Here is a 19,764-nt window from a genome sequence, read left to right as displayed (position 1 = left end):
TAGAAGGTGAGGAATACAGGGTTGTCTTAGGGCCTTGAGCTTCACTATGTCCTGGTATGAATGTTACCTGTTTTGCTCCGTTTCAGGCTGAAAGTCCCAGAATCATTCTTCTGAGCTTAAGGTTGCTTACTAGCCCTGGAATTATACCTCTCCAAAAAGGAAAGAAAGAGCAAAGAGGGCTATGCATCATCTAAGACAGTCCTAGAAATAGGATAACGTTTTTGCCTGAACCTCAGTATGTATGTGTGTGTGCATGTGTGTGTGTACGTGAGTGTGAGTGTGTGTGTGTTGGGGTGAGGGAGACGGGAACTTGCACTCACAAACTCACACATGTGCATATATATGTGTGGTACCTCTGTGTGTGTGTGTGAGAGACAGAGGGATGCTTATGTGAACAGTAAATGTGATGAGTATGGTGCAGTGAGGAGAAACAGCATTATGTAATACAACAAAACTCAGAACCATCAAGCTTTAGTCCAAGGAGGGTGATTATTTACAAGTGGCTATGACTTTGTTCTGCTGAGTTTCACTCTGCCCTTGAGATTTTCTCACCCTGTTTGCCATTATCCTACTATAAAGCTCTCTGCTTTTAAACTCAAAATCTCACAAAACTTCACAAATCATCATCCCTTAGTATTCTTTTTTTTTATTGTGGATAAAAAAATAATATAAAATTAACTATCTTAATTCTTTTAAGTGTACGGTTTTTAAGCGTACAGTTCAGTAATGGCAAGTGTAATCGTGTTGTTGTTAAACAGATCTTCAGAACTTTTTCCATACCCGTTAAACAGCAATGCCCTTTCCCTCCACCCCCTGTGACCACCGTTCTACTTTATGTTTCTATTAATTTGACTGCTTTACATACCTCATGTGAGTGGAATCATATGGTATTTGTCTTTTTGTGACTGGCTTATTTCACTTAGTATAATGCCCTCAAGGTTCTGTGTTGCAGTATCTGTGTTGCAGCGTGTGACAGGATTTCCTTCCTTTCTAAGGCTGAATGATATTCATTGTATGTAGATACCATATTTTGCTCATCCATTCATCCACCGTTGGTAAGATGTGGTACCTACATACAATGGAATATTATTTTGGGTGGCTTTCACCTCTGGGCTATTGTGAATAGTGCTGTTATGAACATGGATCTCTTGGAAACCCTGCTTTCAGTTCTTTTGTATGTATTCCTGGTAGTGGGATTGCTGGATCATATGTTCAATTTTTAATTGTTTGAGGATTCGAGGAACCCTCATATTGTTTTTTACAGAGATTGCACCATTTTATAATCTCACTAGTACTGCAAAAGAGTTCCAACTTTGCACATCCTTGCCAACACTTGTTATTCTATGTTGATTTGTTTTTATAGTAGCCATCGTAATGGGTATGGAGTAATATCTCATTGTGATTTTGATTTGTCTTTTTTTTTGAGGTGTAATTTATGTTCTGTAAATTTCACCCACTGTGACAGTTAAATTATTTTCAGTTAATTTATACAATTTTGCAACCATTGCCACCATCCTGTTTAAGAATATTTCCATCATCCAAAAAGTTCCCTCCTATCCATTTGTAGTCAATCCCAGCTCCCACTTCCAGCCCTAAGGCAATCACCAAACTACTTCCTGCTTTTTCTAGAAATTACACATAAACAGAATCGTACAATATGTAGTCTTTTGTTTCTGACTTATTTCATTTAGCATAATATTTTTGGGGTTTATCCATTTGTTTCAAGAATAAATAGGTCATTCTTTTTAATGTTGAAAATATCCTTTGCATGAATAGATCACATTTTGTTATCCATTCACCAGTTGATGAACATTGGTCTCATTTTTAGTTTTTGACTCTTATGAATAACGCTGCTATGAACATTCATGTCTTTCTGTAGACATATGTTTTCATTTGTCTTTAGTACATATCTGGGAGTAGAACTGCTGAGTCATGCAGTGCAAGCATATATTTAACTTTTTTATTTTTTTTTTGGATACAGGGTTTTGCTGTTGTTGCCCAGGCTGGAGTGCAATGGCACGGTCTTTGGCTCATTGTAACTTCTGTCTCCTGGGTTCAAGTGATTCTCCTTCCTCAGCCTACCAGATAGCTGGGATTACAGGCGCCCACCACCACGCCCAGCTAATTTTTGTATTTTTAGTAGAGACGGGGTTTCACCATGTTGGCCAGGCTGGTCTCGAACTCCTGACCTCAGGTGATCTGCTTGCCTCAGCCTCCCAAAGTGCTGGGATTACAGGCGTGAGCCACCATGCCCAGCCAAGGGTATGTTGAATATTTTAAGAAACTGCCAAACTGTTTTCTAAAGTGATGGGAGGCCGGGCACGGTGGCTCACACCTGTAATCCCAGCACTTTGGGAGTCTGGGGTGGGAGGATTGCTTGAGGCCAGGAGTTCGAGACCAACATGGGCAACATGGCAAAACCCCGTCTCTACTTAAAAAAGATACAAAAAAATTAGCGGGGTGGGGTGATGCATGCCTGTGGTCCCAGCTACTCAGGTGGCTGAGGTAGAAGGATGACTTGAGCCTGGGAGGTTGAGGCTGCAGTGAGCCAGGATTATACCACTGCACTCCAGCCTGGATGACAGAGTGAAACCCTGTCTCAACAAAGAAAGAAAGAAAGTGACAGGACTATTTTACAGTCCCACCAGCAATACTTAAGAGTTCCAGTCTCTCCACATTCTCATCAGCACTTGGTATATTGTCATTCTTTGGACTATAGCCATCCTAGTTAGTGAGTGGTAGGATCTTACTGTAGTTTTAATTCGTATTTCCCTAATGACTAATGATATTGAGTACCTTATCATGTACATATTAACCATCCACATATCTTCTTTGGTACAATTGTCTATTTAGATATTTTGCCTACTTAAAAATATTTACATAAACTTTTTATTTTAGTTTTAGATTTACAGAAGTTTCATAAATAGGACAGAGTTTCTGTACACCCTGCACTTAGTTTCCCCTGTTGTTAACATCTTAGAAATGAAGCAGCCAGGCGCAGTGGCTCATGCCTGTAATCCCAGCACTTTGGGAGGCCGAGGCAGGTGGATCAGCTGAGGTCAGGAGTTCGAGACCAGCCTGGCCAACATGGTGAAACCCCATCTCTACTAAAAATACAAAAAATTAGCCGGGCATGGTGGCGGGCTCCTGTAATCCCAGCTACTCAGGAGGCTTAGGCAGGAGAATTGCTCGGGAGGTTGTAGTGAGCCGAGATTGCGCCATTGCACTCTAGCCTGAGCAAGAAGAACAAGACTCAGTCTTAAATAAATAAATAAATAAATAAATAAATAAATGCATGGATATCCACTTGTCTAAGCACCAGTTGTTGAAAAGACCATTCCTTGCACCATTGAGTTGTCTTGCCATCTTTGTCAAAATCAACCGACTATAAATATGAGTTTATTTCTCAATTCTGTCCCATTGACCTATGTGTGTATCTGTCCTTATAGCTGTACCATATGATCTTGGTTACTATAACTTAACAGTAAGTTTTGAAATTGGGTAGTGTAAGTTCTCTTCTTTTTCAAAATTGTTTTGGGTATTTTAATCCTTTGCATTTCCACACACATTTTAGTCTATACCTGTCAATTTTAACAAAAGATTTTGATAGGGATTCTATTAAATCTGTTGAGCAATTCTCCTCTTCTTCCTTCTCATACTCTACCTTTCTTCTCCCTTGTTTTTTTTCGGTGTGTTTGTTCTGCTTTTTGTTTTTCTTGCCTTCTGTGTTTGCATTGAGTCCTGTATAGGGCACAGTCATCTTCTATGTATAACAAATCCTTAGCAGTAGCCACAACTGTGGATATATTCCCTTTGATTCAACCCACTTTTATATCCTGCTTAATGATAATAATGTCAATGAAAAATCCTTTTAAGATTTTTCAGCTGGGCGCGGTGACTCACGCCTGTAATCCCAGCACTTTGGGAGGCCAAGGCAGGCGGATCAGTTTAGGTCAGGAGTTGGAGACCAGCCTGGCCAACACGGTGAAACCTCATCTCTACTAAAAATACAAAAATTAGCCAGGCGTGGAGGTGGGGCCTGCAATCCCAGCTACTCAGGAGGCTGAGGCACAAGAATCGCTTGAATTCGGGAGGTGGAGGTTTCAGTAGCCGAGAGCCACTGCACTCCAGCGTGGGTGACAGAGCAAGACTCTGTCCCCACCAAAAAAAAAAAAAAAAAAAAAGATTTTTTTCAAAGATGTTTCTTTTTATGTGAACTTACAATACAAATCATCTGTTCCTAAAAGGGTGTTAGATGTATGCAAAGAAAATTCAGAGATGAAAATTCAGATCTAGTAAATTCGTTTAGCACTACAATATATTTGTCCTATGACATAACCCAGCACATGTCTTTTTTTGTTTTTGTGGGGGGTGGGGGGGCTTTTATCCCTTCAGTGACTTCCCCTTACACTTAAAAGCCGAAGTCTATACAATGGTCTACAAGGCCCCATAAAATCTGGTTCCTGGCAACCTCTCTAACTTTATTTCCTGCCACTTTCCCATTGCTCTATCCTCCTTTGTTATTCTGGTTTTGTTCCTTGCAAATACCAAGTGTGCGTCCACCTCAGGGCCTTTGCAACTACTGGTTCCTTTGCCTGATGTGCCCCTCATCCTCATACTCACATGGCTTATTTGTTTATGTTATTCAGATCTCTCCTTAAATGTTAGCTTCTCAGAGATACTTTCTGTAACTTTTTTATCTAAAATAGCACCATCAGTCACTCTGTTTCCTCTTACCTTGTTTCAGTTTCTGCATGACACTTGCCATTATATGACATTTTAAAAATTCATTTTTGTATTTGTTTATAATCTCTACCCTATTAGACTGTAAGTTCTTTGAAAGCAAGGCTTTTTTTTTTTTTTTCCCCACCAAACTCATTTTACTGCCAGAGACAAGGACTTTATTTTACTTCCTGCTCTATCTCCCTATCTGGCGTGGGTCTGGCAGATAGTAGATCTTAAATACTTACAGAATGCATAACTGCATGTGTATCTATATGTGTTCATGACTTACTAATAGTAGTGATATTCATGAGGCATTCAGGTTATTAAATGATATCAGTGTGTCAGAATGAGGCAGGCTTTATTTCTTGTGGGGTTTTTTTTTTTTTTTTGGTTGTTTTGTTTTGTTTTTTCTTTGAGATGGAGTTTTGCTCTGTCACCCAGGCTGGATGAAGTGCAGTGGTGTGATCTCGGGTTACTGCAACCTCCACCTCCTGGGTTCAAGCAGTTCTCCTGCCTCAGCCTTCCAAGTAGCTAGGACTACGGACACCCGCAGCCATGCCCAGCTAATTTTTTTGTATTTTTAGTAGAGACGGGGTTTCACCATGTTGGCCGGCTAGTTTCAAACTGCCGACCCCAAGTGATCGCCTGCCTCGGCCTCCCAAAGTGCTAGGATTACAGGCGTGAGCCACCAAGCCCGACCTATTTCCTGTGTTTTTACAGTGCTAGACCAATAATTCAAAAATTGAAGTTGAAAGCAATGGTTCTCTAGTTCATTATGATTGTTTTAAAAATCCTTAAAAAGTAATCATTCATAGTATTGGAGAAATTTGCTTCTCTTTGACATTTATTTCTTCCCTATCTAAACCTAAGTTATACCTGTAATATAATTTCATGCAGACATTGAGCCTCAGGATTGTATTTCATTTGAATGGAATTTCTTAATAGGATTTGTATACTGACTGCAATTTAGAATAATTTGAATATTTCTCCGCACCTTTGCAAGTCTTCACATTGCCCACTTTTGACTGGTGCCTGAGTTTAGAACCTGCTGTGTTAGCTCTCTTTCATTCTTCTCAAAACTCTGATCTGTCTACATATTTCTAACAAATTAATCTTCTTGAGTCACTGCCTTTGTCATATTACTTCCCTATTTAAAAATCTACAAAACCTCACTGCCTGTAGAATGAAGGAGGCACTCCTCGTGCTGGAATTCAAGGCCTGTGTAATCGGGACCCACCTTACTTTTGGAATCTTATCTTCTACTACTAATTTATGGAGGACAAAGCCTCTGCTCTGCCAGACCTGCTGCCTTCCTACCCTTTAAAACTTTATTGCCCTTTCCACCAAGCTAGCTCATGATGTCCCAGCCCGGCTACCTGCTTTCCTGAATGTCCTACTTGTCTCTTTCAGATTTACAGGTTTTCTATATCCTGGAGTCCAGTTTAAATCCTGGTATGTCCATGCAACCTTCCTTAAACCCTCCAAGTAGCTAACTCATATGGATCTCTTCTTTGCATTCCTAAATTCCTTGAGCTCTTATTGTTTTATCAGTCATTTGATCATCCAATAAAATGCTATCTCTTTCCTTAAGGATTTCTTGAGTATGTATTAAACCAGGACTTCTTGAAGATTGTAAGCACTTTCTTTGCACCTTCAACTTTTTAAGGGCTGGGATTGTACATCTTTAGTGCCTGGCAGATTCCATGTGTTTGTGGGACTGAACTTTATACTGATTTGTGTTTCTAGAGGATGGAGCACAATTGTAAATTCTAGTTGAATTAGGTTAAATTCAGCAACTTTCTTGTAGTCCCTCTGTTCAAGGTCACATTATAGGACCTTGCTTGTTGATTTGGTATGCTTTTGCTGGTCCTACTGACGCTTTGGAAGGCAACCAAAGAGTAGTTACTCAAACTGTAAAAATCTGTATTTTTTATGAGTTTTTGGAGAGAAGTTTGTCTTTTACTACCAGAAATAATCCTGGAAGTCAAGATAAGGTTGGAATAAGGCATCTCCTTTGGTGTAAAGTGGCCCTTTTCTTTTGTCTCGCTTTTTCCCCTTTGGATCATGTTAATGGAATAATCCTAAGGGTAAAACTGGAGACTTTGGCTCCAAGCATGAATTTAAAGAAATGTTCAGTTAAATTGTATTGAATAATCTACATCCTTGGTTTTTCACTTTTTTAAATAGAATTGTTTTGGAATTTAAGGGACTTCTTTTTTCCCTTTAGTTATTTCTTCTAAGCTGTGACCACCTCATGTTTAATTCTATATAAATCCAGCTGTTATTTTTCACTCATTTCCTGTGTCCAGTTTATCACAAGGAAAACATTCTTGTGAAGAGCTTCTCCATAGAGTTTATTGAGATGAATTTTTAAAGTCTTCATTTTGAGAAATTGATTAAACTGCTACTGATGTTATCTGAGTGAGCTCAGCCCTATTGAAAGCTTAAAATCTAAAACTGATACTGTATGAAGTATCAGTTCCATATGGAAGCATTAAAAAAGTAACCCGATTGGGCGCGGTGGCTCACGCCTCTAATCCCAGCACTTTGGGAGGCCGAGGCAGGTGGATCACCTGAGGTCAGGAGTTCGAGACCAGCCTGACCAATATGATGAAACCCCATCTCTACTAAAAATAGAAAAATTAGCTGGGCATGGTGGTAGGCGCCTGTAATCCCAGCTACTTGGGAGGCTGATATAGGAGTATCGTTTTAACCCAGGAGGTGGAGGTTGCAGTGAGTCAAGATCGCGCATTGCACTCCAGCCTGGCCAGCAAGAACGAAACTCCATCTCAAAAAAAAAGTAACCTTAAATTTGAACCAACGTGAATTTAGGGTATGAAACTGATTTATATTGACATAATCTATGCATTTCTCACATAAATGAAGTGAATAAATACAAATAAATGGTACGATGCTGAACAAAAGAATACCTTTTAAGAAAATCTTTTGTGTTTCCATATAGGTTTAGGACATTAATATGTATTGTTCATCTGGTTGTGTGGGCACTCTAATTTATAAGCTGATCACCTCAAATTCCCTCTCACATTTACCAAGTTGTCAGGTAGGAAACATAAACATTTTATTCCTGCCCCTTTGAGAAAATCAGCGTAGAAGCATGTTATAATTTATAATTACAAAGAACAAAGGCCTAAAAGAGAAATTCCTAACCACAGGCCCACTTTCACATGGGTTTGAAACCAGAATTTATACCATATTTTTAGCCCCCAAATCCCAACTCAGGAATTTAATTAAATTTAAAGCTTCTCTATTTGGGTGGTGCTCCCAGAAACCTGTCAGAAGCAAACATAAATTCTCTTTGTAGAAAGGCACTTAAGCTGGGCGTGGTGGCTCACGCCTGTAATCCCAGCACTTTGGGAGGCCAAGGCAGGCAGATCACTTGAGGTCAGGAGTTCGAGACCAGCCTGGCCAACATGGTGAAACCCTGTCTTTACTAAAAATACAAAAATTAGCTGGGTGTGGTGGCGGGTGCCTGTAATCCCAGCTACATGGGAGGCTGAGGCAGGAGAATTGCTTGAATCTGGGAGGTGGAGGTTGCAGTGAGCCGAGATCGCATCACTGTACTCCATTCTGGGCAATAGAGCGAGACTCCATCTCAAAAAAAAAAAAGAAGAAGAAAGGCACTTAAAAACCTCAGCCTTGAGTAATCTCCACAGATAAGTTCCAAGGAACTTGAACTCACGTAAGAAAAAAATAAGCTGGCCTGTGTAAGAATTAACAGGAACAATACATTAAAGTCCTACAAAGAGTGTGAACTATCAAATACAGCATATAAAGTAAATATTTTTTTAAAAAAGGAGTATGTTAAAAGTATAAAGTATGGAGAAACAAAAGAATATAAAAATTACCAGAAAATCTGAAAAGGAATCAAATAAAACTAGGAATTAAAAAAAAAATAGAAACCTCAATTAGATAAGGTAAATATCAGATTAGATTTAGAGATTATAAACCTACAGATAATTGGAATTCCAGAAGGACAAAATAAAAAAAATTCTTGGTAAGGCCAAAAGATAATGAATGGAAATTGTCCCAAGTTCATAGCAGTGGTCAACAAATCTTAATTAAGAATCTAGGCCGGGCATGGTGGCTCATGCCTGTAATCCCAGCACTTTGAGAGGTCAAGGTGGGCAGATCACTTGAGGTCAGGCGTTCGAGACCAGGCTGGCCAACATGGTGAAGCCCCATCTCTACTAAAAATACAAAAATTAGCCAGGTGTGGTGATGCGTGCCTGTAGTCCCAGCTACTTGGGAGACTGAAGCACAAGAATCACTTGAACCCAAGAGATGGAGGTTGCAATTGAGCTGAGATCGCACCACTGCACTCCAGCCTAGGCGACAGAGCAACACTCTGTCTCAAAAAAAAAAAAAAAAAAAAAGAATCTAAAAGAAAATTCATACCTACACACATCATAGTAAAGCTAGAGGACCCCAGAGACAAAGAAAAGATACTAAAAACAAATAGAAGATTATTTACAAAGAATTGACAATTTCACAGAGAGCTGACTTCTGAAGAGCAACATTAGAAACCAAAGGAGAGTGGAATACGATCTTCCAAGAACTGAGAGGAAAATAATAATCCTAAAATTGTATACCCAGTGAGAAAATACCTGTCAAGAAAGGCAAAGACAAAAACATTTGCAGATGAATAAAAATGCTCACTACTAAAGGAACCTCGCTAAAGGAATTTGTAAAGGGTATGTTTCGAGGAGAAGGAAAATGATCTTAGGCATTTGACAAAATTCAACCCTCAATTCACATTTTTAAAAACTCTCAGAAAGTTAGGAATAGAGGGTACCTTCTCAATCTGAAAATGCACATCTATGAAAAACCTACCTAGCTACCATCATACTTAATGTTAAAAGACTGAACATTTTACCTTAATATTGGGAACAATGCAAGAATGTCACTCTTAGTGCATCTATTCAGCATTTTACTAGTGATCCTAGCTAGTGCAGTAATACGAGAAAAAGAAATTAAAGGCATTCAGATCGAAAAGGAAATATTAAAATTTTCTTTATTCATAGATGACGTGATTGTGTACATAGAAAATGCTAAGGAATCTACAAAGCAAAGTACTAGAACTAACAAAGTTAGCAGTATTGCAGGACATAGATCACTTTAAAAAAATCAGTGGCATTTCTGTATATTAGCAGCAATTAGGAAATGAAATTTTAAAAAGCAATACCATTTATAATAGCATTGAGAAACATAACGTAGGAATACATATAATGAAATATGTGCAAGATGTGTAAACTAAATACTACAAAGTATTGCTGAAAGAAATTTTAGGGCCGGGTGCAGTGGCTCACGCCTATAATCCCAGCACTTTGGGAGGCTGAGGTGGGTGGATCACCCGAAGTTGGGAGTTTGAGACCAGCCTGACCAACATGGAGAAACCCTGTCTCTACTAAAAATAAAAAATTAGCCCGGCGTGGTGGTGCACACCTGTAATCCCAGTTTCTCGGCAGGCTGAGGTGGGAGTATCGCTTGAACCCGGGAGGCGGAGGTTGTGGTGAGCCAAGATCATGACGTTGCACTCCAGTGTGGGCAACAAGAGCGAAACTCCATCTCAAAAAAATAAAAAACAAAGAGCGAAACTCCATCTCAAAAAAAAAAAAACAAACAAAAAAGAAATGTTAAAAGCCCTAAATAAATGAAGAGGTATACCATATTTATAAATTGGAAGGCCAGTGGTATACCTAGCATATTTGACATTCAGAATGGATCATATTTAACAGCCCTTTCCTTTATATGTCAAAATTGTTAGTAATTATCATGAAATGAAACAGATAATTACTGATTCCTGCTTTTGTCTTATTATTCCTTTCGTTATCTTCAGATTTTCTCTGTTTATCAGTCATTCAGCAAATATTTATTGGGCACTTAATATGTTCCAGGCCTCACTTAAAGAAAAACAGACAAAACAATCTTTGCTCTCATGAAGCTTGTTTTTTAGTGGTGGGAAACAGGCAAAAATCTTAATAAATAAATAAATTATATATTAGAAGGTAATAAGTGCTATATAGAACAGCAAAATAGGGAAAGAGGGATGGGCAGTATTGGAGGTCTAGTGGGTTGCCATTTTTAATAATTGCTTTAGGCCTTAATGAAAAGTGACATTTGAACATCAGCTTGAAGGAGGTGATGGAGTTACCCTTTTGGGTATCTGGAGGAAGAGCATTCCTTGCCAAAGGAACAGGCTGGGCAAAGGCCCTGCAGCCAAAGCATACCTAGCATGTTTAAGGAACATCAAAAAGCTGGTAGAGGGGGAGTTAAATTAGCAAGAGGGAAATGAAATCAAAGATATTATGAGGGCTAGATGGTAGAGGGTCTTATATGCCATTGTAAGGACTAAGTGACAAGAGGATGTGTTTGGATTGCTTTGACTGATCTGACTTCCATTTTAAAAGGATGTTCTTTCTGGCCGCTGTAGAGAATAGACTAAAGCAGAGTCAGGATGGAAGGAAGGAGTCAGCTTTTGAAAAAGGTGAGAGGAAGACTTGGGTGGACGAGGTGGATAACAGTAGAGGTAATAAGAGGTGATAAGATACACGAACATTGGATGTACTTAGGGCAACAGTATTTGCTGACAAATACTGGAGAGTGAGAAGGAGAGGTCAGTTTGGCCTGCACAGCTGGAAGGATGGTGATGAGGATTACTATAGGTAGAACAAGCTTGGGTAGGGTAAGAGCTCCATTTTGGATGTGTTGAGTCCTTTTTGACATCCAAATGGAGGTGTCAGATAGGGAGTTTGTATGTCTGGAGTGGGGGTGTGTAACTTGACCATGTAAACCTTTAGGATTCTAAATACATCAAGCCACATGTCTTATTGATGTGGGTATACTGGAGAAAGTTACAAATGAAAAAGTACTAAAGTACTGCTGGATCCAAAAGTTTACCATCTTCAAAATGAAAAGCATTATAGACTGCTTCTAACACATCAAGTGCACTTTCAGGGATATGTGTGGTTTGGAAATACAAATTTGGGAATTGTCAACTTACAGATAATATTTAGACAAGAGAAAACATGTAAGGATCAAACCATGTTACTAATTTCTTATTTCTTAACATGGTTATTCAGTTAATTCTTTTTTTAAAATTCTTTTTTTCTAATATGCATGGATCCAATTGTAAAGTTAAGGCAATTTCTAAAATTTCTAAACACATGAGACTTTTTTGTATTCTTTGATGCTTTGTGTTAATTATTGAATTTTGGTGAGAGATGATATTCTGTATGATAATGATTCTTTGGTAGAGTTGAGATTTCTTTTAGGGCCTAGCATCTAAACAATTTTCCTAAAAAATTGTGCTTAAAAAATTCCTCAAATTGTTGGGTGCAGGTTTCCCCATATTCTCATTTTATCAAGCTTATTATGTGTGCAGAAAACATTAAATTTAATTTTTAACAATTCTTATTGATACATAATATTTGTACATTTTTATGGAATACATGTGATATTTTGCTAAGTGCATAGAATGTGCGGTGATCAAGTCAGGGTATTTCCTCATGTTCTCACTTATAACTGGGAGCTGAATGCTGAGAACACATGGACACATAGAGGGAAACAACACACACCAGTGTCTGTTGGAGAGTGGAGGGTGGGAGGAAGGAGAGGATCAGGAAAAATAACTAATGGATACCAAGCTTAATACCTGGGTGATGAAATCATCTGTACAACAAACCCCCATGAAACATGTTTACCTGTATGACAAACCCACACATCCTGCACGTGTACTCATGAACTTAAAAGTTAAAAAAAAAACAACTCGGTATTTAGGGTATCCGTCACCTTGAATATTTATCATTGCTGTGTGTTGGGAACATTTCAAGTTCTCTTTTCTATTTTGAAATATACAATACATTATTGTTAACTATAGTCACCCCCCTGCTCTGCTGTTGAACATTGGAACTTGTTCCTCCCATCTAACTCTGTGTTTGTACCCATTAACCAACCTCTCTTCATCCTTCCCCACCCTCACACACCCTTCTCAGCCTCTGGGTGACCATCATTCTACTCTCTACCTGTATGGGATCAACATTTTTAGCTCCCACCTATGACTGAGAATATGTGATATTTGTCTGTGTCTGGCTTATTTCAGTTAACATATAATCTTCAGTTCCATCCATGTTGCTTCAAATGCCAGGATTTCATTCTTTTTACCACCAAGTAGTATACCACATTGTCTTTCCATTGAGGGCATACAGAGAAATTATTTCTAAATAATTGATATAGAAGTAAAGATGATGTCCTGTGGAGAACTGTGTGCTGACTCAGAACCTTTGACTCAGAACCTTTAGCGATGATGAAGACATTGACGTCAAAGATGCATTTAAAGACTTTGGATGAAATTGAGTCATGAAACTGAAATAAAGCTGTATTTCTAAATTTTTGTGCTTTTAAATTTTATCAGTAGTTGTAGGAGGAAAGAGAGAAATAAGGTTTAGTAGGAGAAGTACAAGTGACAGCAAGCTTTTGATGTTTTTTTTAATGGAGCAAGCAAACCCCAAATATAAGTTGATCTTTCCCAAGAAAGGATCTCTAAAAACTAACTCAACCATGTAAACCTTTAGAATTCTAAATAAATCAAGACATATATCTTGTTGATGTGGGTACAAATGAAAAAGTACTAAAATGCTGCTGGATGCAAAAGTTTACCACCTTCAAAATGAAAAATACCCTAGACTCCTTCTAACACGTCATCAAGTTAGAAGGAGTTTGATGACTCCTTCTAACACGTCATCAAGTTCAGCTCTGTCTACAGTGGCATTCTTCAGCTTCCTGTGAAGGCATCCATTTATCATTGTCCCCAACCTTTGTATGGACATGTGAGAGAAATCGTGACAGAGGAGGCCTTGAGTGGAGAGGCTGGAAGAGTGTCATTGTCAGCTGTACTTCCACCTGGGGTACTCCAATGCAGACAGGTGGGGTGTGGAGTGAGCTCATAGCAGTGACGTGGATGCCAGTTTGGATAGTTACTTAGAGAGGATCCATGATCTATCAGTCAATCATTATACAGTATTTAGGCTTAGAAACTTTTTCAAAGCCAATCATTTCAGATATCAATTATGAATTATTTGTCACTGGAGAGAGTAATGGGCAATTTATGAATATCTCTGAACCTTTGGACCTGAAGCAAACTAACCCACTTTGAAAGTTAGTAGTAAGTTTGAAATTGGAAAGTTTGTGTCTCTAAATTTGTTCTTCTTTTGGAAGACGCTTTTTGGGCTATGTCTGTTGCGTTTCCATGTGCATTTAGAGTCAGCTCATCAAGTTTTGCAAAAAGGTATTTTGTGATTTTGTTAGGAATTGTACTGAATCAATAGATCTATTTGGGGAATATTGCTATCTTAGCAATATGAAATCTATGAACATGTGAAATCTTTCCATTTATTTAGGTGTTCTTTCTTTCAATGATGTTTTATAATTTTCAGTATACAAGCTTCACACTTTGGTTAAATTTCTTTCTTTCTTTTCCTTCCTTTCTTCCTTCCTTCCTTCCATCTTTTCCTTCCTTCCTTTCCTTCTTTCTCTTTCTTTTCTTTTCTTTCTTTCTTTCTTTCTTTCTGCCTTGCCTTCTTTCTTGCCTTTCCTTCTTTCCTTCTTTCTTGCCTTTCCTTCTTTCCTTCTTTCTTGTCTTTCCTTCTTTCCTTCCTTCCTTCCTTCCTTTCTTTCCTTCTCTCTTTCCTTCTTTCTTTCCTTCTTTCTTTTCTTTCTTTCCTTCCTTCCTTCTTTCCTTCTTTCTTTCCTTCTCTCCCTCCCTCCTTCCTTCCTCCTTCCTTCCTTCCTTCTTTCTTTCTTCCCTTCTTTCTTTCTTTCCTTCTTTCTTTCCTTCCTTCCATCTGTCCATCCGTCCGTCCTTCCTTTCTCTCTGTCACCCAGGCTAGAGTGTAGTGGTGCGATCTTGGCTCAATGCAAACTCTGCCTGCCGGGTTCAAGCAATTCTTGTGCTTCAGCCTCCCAGGTAGCTAGGATTACAGGCATGTGCCACTGCTCCCAGCTAATTTTTGTATTTTTAGTAGAGACAGGGTTTCACCATGTTGGCCAGACTGGTCTCGAATTCCCAACCTCAGGTGATCTGCCCACTTCGGCCTCCCAGAGTGCTGGGATTACAGGCGTGAGCCACTGCGCCCAGCCAGGCTAAATTTATTTCTACATATTTTTTATGCTATTGTAAATAAAACTGTTTTTTTTTTTCTTTTTTTTGAGACAGAGTCTTGCTGTGTCGCCCAGGCTGGAGCTCAGTGGTGCCATCTCAGCTCACTGCAAGCTCCACCTCCAGGGTTCACGTCATTCTCCTGCCTCAGCCTCCCCAGTAGCTGGGACTACAGGTGCCCGCCACCACGCCCAGCTAATTTTTTGTATTGTTTTTAGTAGAGATGGGGTTTCACCGTGTTAGCCAGGATGGTCTCGATCTCCTGACCTCGTGATCCGCCCACCTCAGCCTCCCAAAGTGCTAGGATTACAGGCGTGAGCCACTGTGCCCGGCCTCTTTTCTTAATTTCATTTTCAGATCACTGTTAATATCTAGAAATACAATTGAATTTTGTAATATTGATCTTGTGTCCTGCAGCTTTGCTGAACTTGTCTATTAACTCTAATAGTTTTGCTTGGTTGGTTGTTTTGTTTAGAGACAGGGTCTTGCTCTGTCACTTTGGCTGGAGTGCAGTGACACAATCATAACTCACTGCAGCATTGAACTCCTGGGCTCAAGTGATCCTCCCACCTCAGCCTCCTGAGTAGTAGGACCACAGGCACGCACTACCACACCTGTCTAATTTTTAAAATTTTTTTTTTGGAGGGAGAGAGTCTCTCTATGTTGTCCAGTGTGGTCTCAAACTCTGGCTTCAAGTGATCCTCCTGTCTCAACCTACCAAAGTGTTGGGATTACAGGCGTGAGCCACTGCACCTGACTCTAATAGCTTCCTTTGTGTGGACTCTTTAGAGTTTTCTGTGTATGAGATCATGTCATCGGCAAATAGAGATAATTTGACTTCTTGACTTCTTCCTTCGTAGCTTCACAGTCTGGACTTTTTTTTTTTTTTTTTTTTTTTTTTTTTTTTTTTTTTGAGATAGGGTCTTGCTCTGTCACTCTGGCTGGAATGCAGAGGCACAATCATGGCTCACTGCAGCCTTGCCCTCCCGGGCTCAGGTGATCTTCCCACTTCAGCATCCCAAGTAGCTGGGACCATAGGCTCATGCCACCACACCCTGCTGATTTTTTTTTTTTTTTTTTTTTTTTAGACAGTTGCTCTGTCAACCAGGCTGGAGTGCAGTGGTGCAATCTCAGCTCACTGCAAACTCTGCGTCCTGGGTTCATGCCATTCTCCTGCCTCAGCCTCCCGAGTAGCTGAGACTACAGGCGCTGGCCACCATGTCCGGCTAATTTTTTGGGTTTTTCTTAGTAGAGACAGGGTTTCAACGTGTTAGCCAGGATGGTCTCCATCTCCTGACTTCATGATCCACCCACCTTGGCTGCCCAAAGTGCTGGGATTACAGGCATGAGCCACCGTGCCTGGCTGCTCTGCTGATTTTTATACTTTTTTAGAGATGGGGTTTCGCCATGTTGCCCAGGCTGGTCTTCACCTCCTGGGCTCAAGTGATCCTCGCGATCTTCCTGCCTCAGCCTACCAAAGTGTTAGGATTACAGGAGTGAGCCACTGTGCCAAGCCCCAGTCTGGACATCTTTTATTTCTTTTTCTTGTCTAATGGTTGTGGTGCACCCACTTAGTCTTAAATGATGGTTTCACTGGGTTTAGAGTCCAGCCAAAGTTGTTTTCTCTTCATTGCTTGAAGGTATCGCTCCTCTATTATAATCAGTTTTGCTGATGGCAATCTGATTCTCCTTCCTTTTTGTCGAATGTCTCATTTTGCTGGTAAACTTTTAGGATTTTTTTTGTTTTTTGTTTTGTTGTTGTTGTTGTTGTTATTTTGTTTTGAGACAGGTTCTCACTCAGTCGCTCAGGTTGGAGTGCAGTGGTGCAATCACGGCTCACTGCAGACTCCACCTCCCTGGGCTTAAGCAATCCTCCCACCTCAGCCCCACAAATAGCTGAGACCACAGGTGTACACCACCATGCCCAGCTAATTTTTTATTTTTGTAGAAACAGCATCTCACTATGTTATCCAGTCTTGTCTTGAACTCCTGACCTCAAGTGATCCTCCTACTTTGGTCTCTCAAAGTGCTGGGATTACATGCATGAGCCTCTGCATTTGGCCAGGATTTTTTTTAATACTTTAATAAATCTGAAGTTTTACTATAACCTGTCTGTATATAAGCTTTTTGAGTTTCTATTTAATTTAATTTAATACTCAGGATTCTTAGTTTCTGAAGACTCATGCCTTAAATCTGAAAAATTTTCAGCCATTGTCTGTTTAGATACTATCGCCTCTCCTTCATTCTCTTTAGTTTGTCTGAACCCTAAAATATAGACTTTAAAACTTTTGGATTGCTGGGCACAGTGGCTCATGCCTGTAATCCCAGCACTTTGGGAGGCCAAGGCTGATCTCTTGAGGTCAGAAGTTCAAGAGCAGCCTGGCCAACATGGTGAAACTCTGTCTGAAACCCAACAAAAATTAGCTGGGCATGGTGGCTCACACCTGTAATCCCAGCTACTCAGGAGGCTAAGGCAGGAGAATCGTTTAAGCCTGGGAGGTGGAGATTGCGGTGAGCTGAGATCTGACTACTGCATCCTAGCCTGGGCGACAGAGCGAGTCTCCATCTCAAACAAACAAAAAATTAGCTGGGCATGGTGGCATGTGTCTGTAGTCCCGGCTAGTTGGAAAGCTGAGAGGCAGGAGGATCCTTTGAGCTGAGGAGTTCGAGGTTGCAGTGGCAGCTATGATCCTGCCACTGCACTCAAGCCTAGGTGACAGAGTGAGACCCTGTTTCAAAAGAGAAAAGAAAAAAAAAAACTTCTAGATCTAGCTTTTACATTTAACTTATTTTTTATGTTCATCAATCTTTAGCTGTATTCAGTTTTGTTTTGTTTTTTGTCTCAATAACTATGGTTTTCATTTTTAAAGCCTCTAATTGGTTATTTTTCAGAACATTTGATGGATGCTGTTTTATCCTTTAGGGGCCTGAGGATCTTAGGTATTTGAAGACCTTTTTGGATGCTCTGTTTTCTCTGCTTTTCGGGGGGCCCCATGGGGGTCAGAACCTAGGTTCTTCCAGCCTCCTCAAAAGTGGCCAGCAGTCCTTGTGTGTGTGGCTCATGGCCGCTGAGAAGCAGCCCTTGCTCACCACTATGATTCTTCATTTTCTTCCTTAGAGGATACTTTTTCATTTTGTTTAGGCATTAAACAGAGTTTCCTTTTTTGTTTTGGTCCTAGCTATACATGCATTAATTATGCATTAATTTATGTTTATATCTTTAAGTCATTTTTTTTTTGGCACAGGAGGGTGAGCTCTCCGCATGTGCTCACTCTACTACCTTGTACTGGAAGTCCCTGGACTACTTCTGCAGCTGATTTATAGTTCACTGGCAAAGCACTGTCTCCCAAGGTCTCTGTGTGGTCTTTTCAGCAGAGACTTAGATACACATTTTAATGAAATGGTAGGTGGTTTTTCTTTCCCTTGGCAAATTCTCTAATGTCTTGGGGCATTTTACATTTCTTTTAGGTTCTTTTGGTCCAGAAATGAGATGCTAAGAATGATTGAACAGCGTAGTTGGCCTGATGTGTTTAGTACGCATGAGGAGCGCTGCTGCCTCTGTTGGGTGTGTGCCTGTTTAGGCCTCATTACTCCTCCCACTCACAGATTTTTGCTATCCCAAATGGCTTATCTACCAGCCTTCTTTGAATTCCTTGTCTGGATATCTTTTCCATTTAAAATTCATGTCAGTTGAGCACCCGACCAATTGACACTTTTGGGTTTCAGCCAATACATTGCTTAAGGTAGATTAGAATGGTAAGTAGATGGCCTGGCACAGTGGCTCACTCCTGTAGTACCAGCACTTTGGGAGGCTGAGGCAGGAGGATTGCTGAGGCCAGAAGTTCAAGACCAGCCCTGGCCACAGAGTGAGATCCCATGTCTACAGAAATATAAAAATAAAAAAAATTAACTGGATATGGTGGTGCACCTGTAATCCAAGTTACTTGGGAGGCTGAGGCAAGAGGATCCCTTCAGCTCAGGAGTTTGAGGTTGTAGTGAGCTATAATCATGCCAGCGTACTCCAGCCTGAGTGAAAGAGCAAGACCCTGTCTCAAAACAAAACCAAAAAAAAGAATGGTAAGTAGAATTATAAAAGCTCAGCTATAAGAGAGTCATTCATAATTGAACTAATATTTGTTGAGCAACCAGTGTGTTCCAATTGTGGTTTTCAGTACACATTGTGAATGCAATGAAGACAGAGATGAAACAAGTACTAGGGTCCCTGCTCTCGCAAAGTTTACAAGCTCATAAGTGAAACCAACCAACAAATAAAAACTAATTACATATAATAGCAAATTATGATAAGTATTATTTAAAAAGAAGAGGATACTATGAGAGAATATAGCAGGGACTTCTAATTTAAATTTTGTAGTCAGGAAAGGGGTTTTCAAACTTTTTAAAAAAGCAGTAGAACATTTTATTCCTATGAAATGTTATGTGGAATAGAAGTGGAGCTACCCTTATTGGAACAAGATTGGGGCCTAACATCCTTCGTCTGTTCCCCTTGCTGTTCATCATGGTCACTGAAGCACCATGTGGCATCCTCAGATCCCCAGAGCACAGCATGTGAAAATCAGTGCTCTAGAACCAGCCCCTGTCATTTCACAGACCAGTTAGCTGAGACACACAGGGCTTCATTGTCCAAAGTCATGCAGGTCACATAATCCACTTAGTATCAGAGTTGGAGCCAGAACCAATTTTCCCAAACTTTTTCCCACTCTCCACTGCCCCCCTTTCCTTCCTGATATGGTTGTTTTTGTTTTTGTTTGTTTGGTTTTTTTTTTTGCAATGACACGATCTCGACTGAGTGCGTCCTCCGCCTCCCCGGTTCAAGCGATTCTCCTGCCTCAGCCTCCCGAGTAGCT

At 40.0% G+C, this 19,764-nt stretch overlaps 1 protein-coding gene across 30 annotated transcripts in view, besides 5 other annotated features; it reads left to right on the top strand.

Moving 5' to 3' along the window:
• DTNB (dystrobrevin beta) overlaps window positions 1–19,764 on the top strand; it is a 296,335-nt gene that overhangs the window by 154,712 nt on the left and 121,859 nt on the right. The gene's annotated exons all lie outside the window — the stretch shown is intronic.
• Window positions 593–737: an enhancer, noted in NCBI's record as "145 bp 2:25741070 sequence used in MPRA reporter constructs". NCBI's record gives its function as "activates a minimal TATA-containing promoter with rs144013880 allelic activity by MPRAs in C283T melanocytes {active_cell/tissue: C283T}" and the evidence as "EXISTENCE:reporter gene assay evidence [ECO:0000049][PMID:36423637]".
• Window positions 663–665: a transcriptional cis regulatory region, noted in NCBI's record as "rs144013880 or 2:25741070 MPRA-significant variant associated with a GWAS melanoma risk locus at 2p23.3". NCBI's record gives its function as "allelic transcriptional activity by MPRAs in C283T melanocytes {active_cell/tissue: C283T}" and the evidence as "EXISTENCE:reporter gene assay evidence [ECO:0000049][PMID:36423637]".
• Window positions 17,228–17,330: a silencer, noted in NCBI's record as "fragment chr2:25724405-25724507 (GRCh37/hg19 assembly coordinates)". NCBI's record gives its function as "represses an EF-1alpha promoter that drives an FKBP-Casp9 reporter gene in an ReSE screen in phorbol 12-myristate 13-acetate-treated (for megakaryocytic differentiation) K562 erythroleukemia cells {active_cell/tissue: K562(+PMA)}" and the evidence as "EXISTENCE:reporter gene assay evidence [ECO:0000049][PMID:32094911]".
• Window positions 19,612–19,756: an enhancer, noted in NCBI's record as "145 bp 2:25722050 sequence used in MPRA reporter constructs". NCBI's record gives its function as "activates a minimal TATA-containing promoter with rs34793068 allelic activity by MPRAs in C283T melanocytes {active_cell/tissue: C283T}" and the evidence as "EXISTENCE:reporter gene assay evidence [ECO:0000049][PMID:36423637]".
• Window positions 19,674–19,684: a transcriptional cis regulatory region, noted in NCBI's record as "rs34793068 or 2:25722050 MPRA-significant variant associated with a GWAS melanoma risk locus at 2p23.3". NCBI's record gives its function as "allelic transcriptional activity by MPRAs in C283T melanocytes {active_cell/tissue: C283T}" and the evidence as "EXISTENCE:reporter gene assay evidence [ECO:0000049][PMID:36423637]".

Source organism: Homo sapiens, chromosome 2, assembly GCF_000001405.40.
Source record: "Homo sapiens chromosome 2, GRCh38.p14 Primary Assembly".
Taxonomy (NCBI): Eukaryota; Metazoa; Chordata; class Mammalia; order Primates; family Hominidae; genus Homo; species Homo sapiens.
This window is presented reverse-complemented; position numbering and strand designations above follow the sequence as displayed.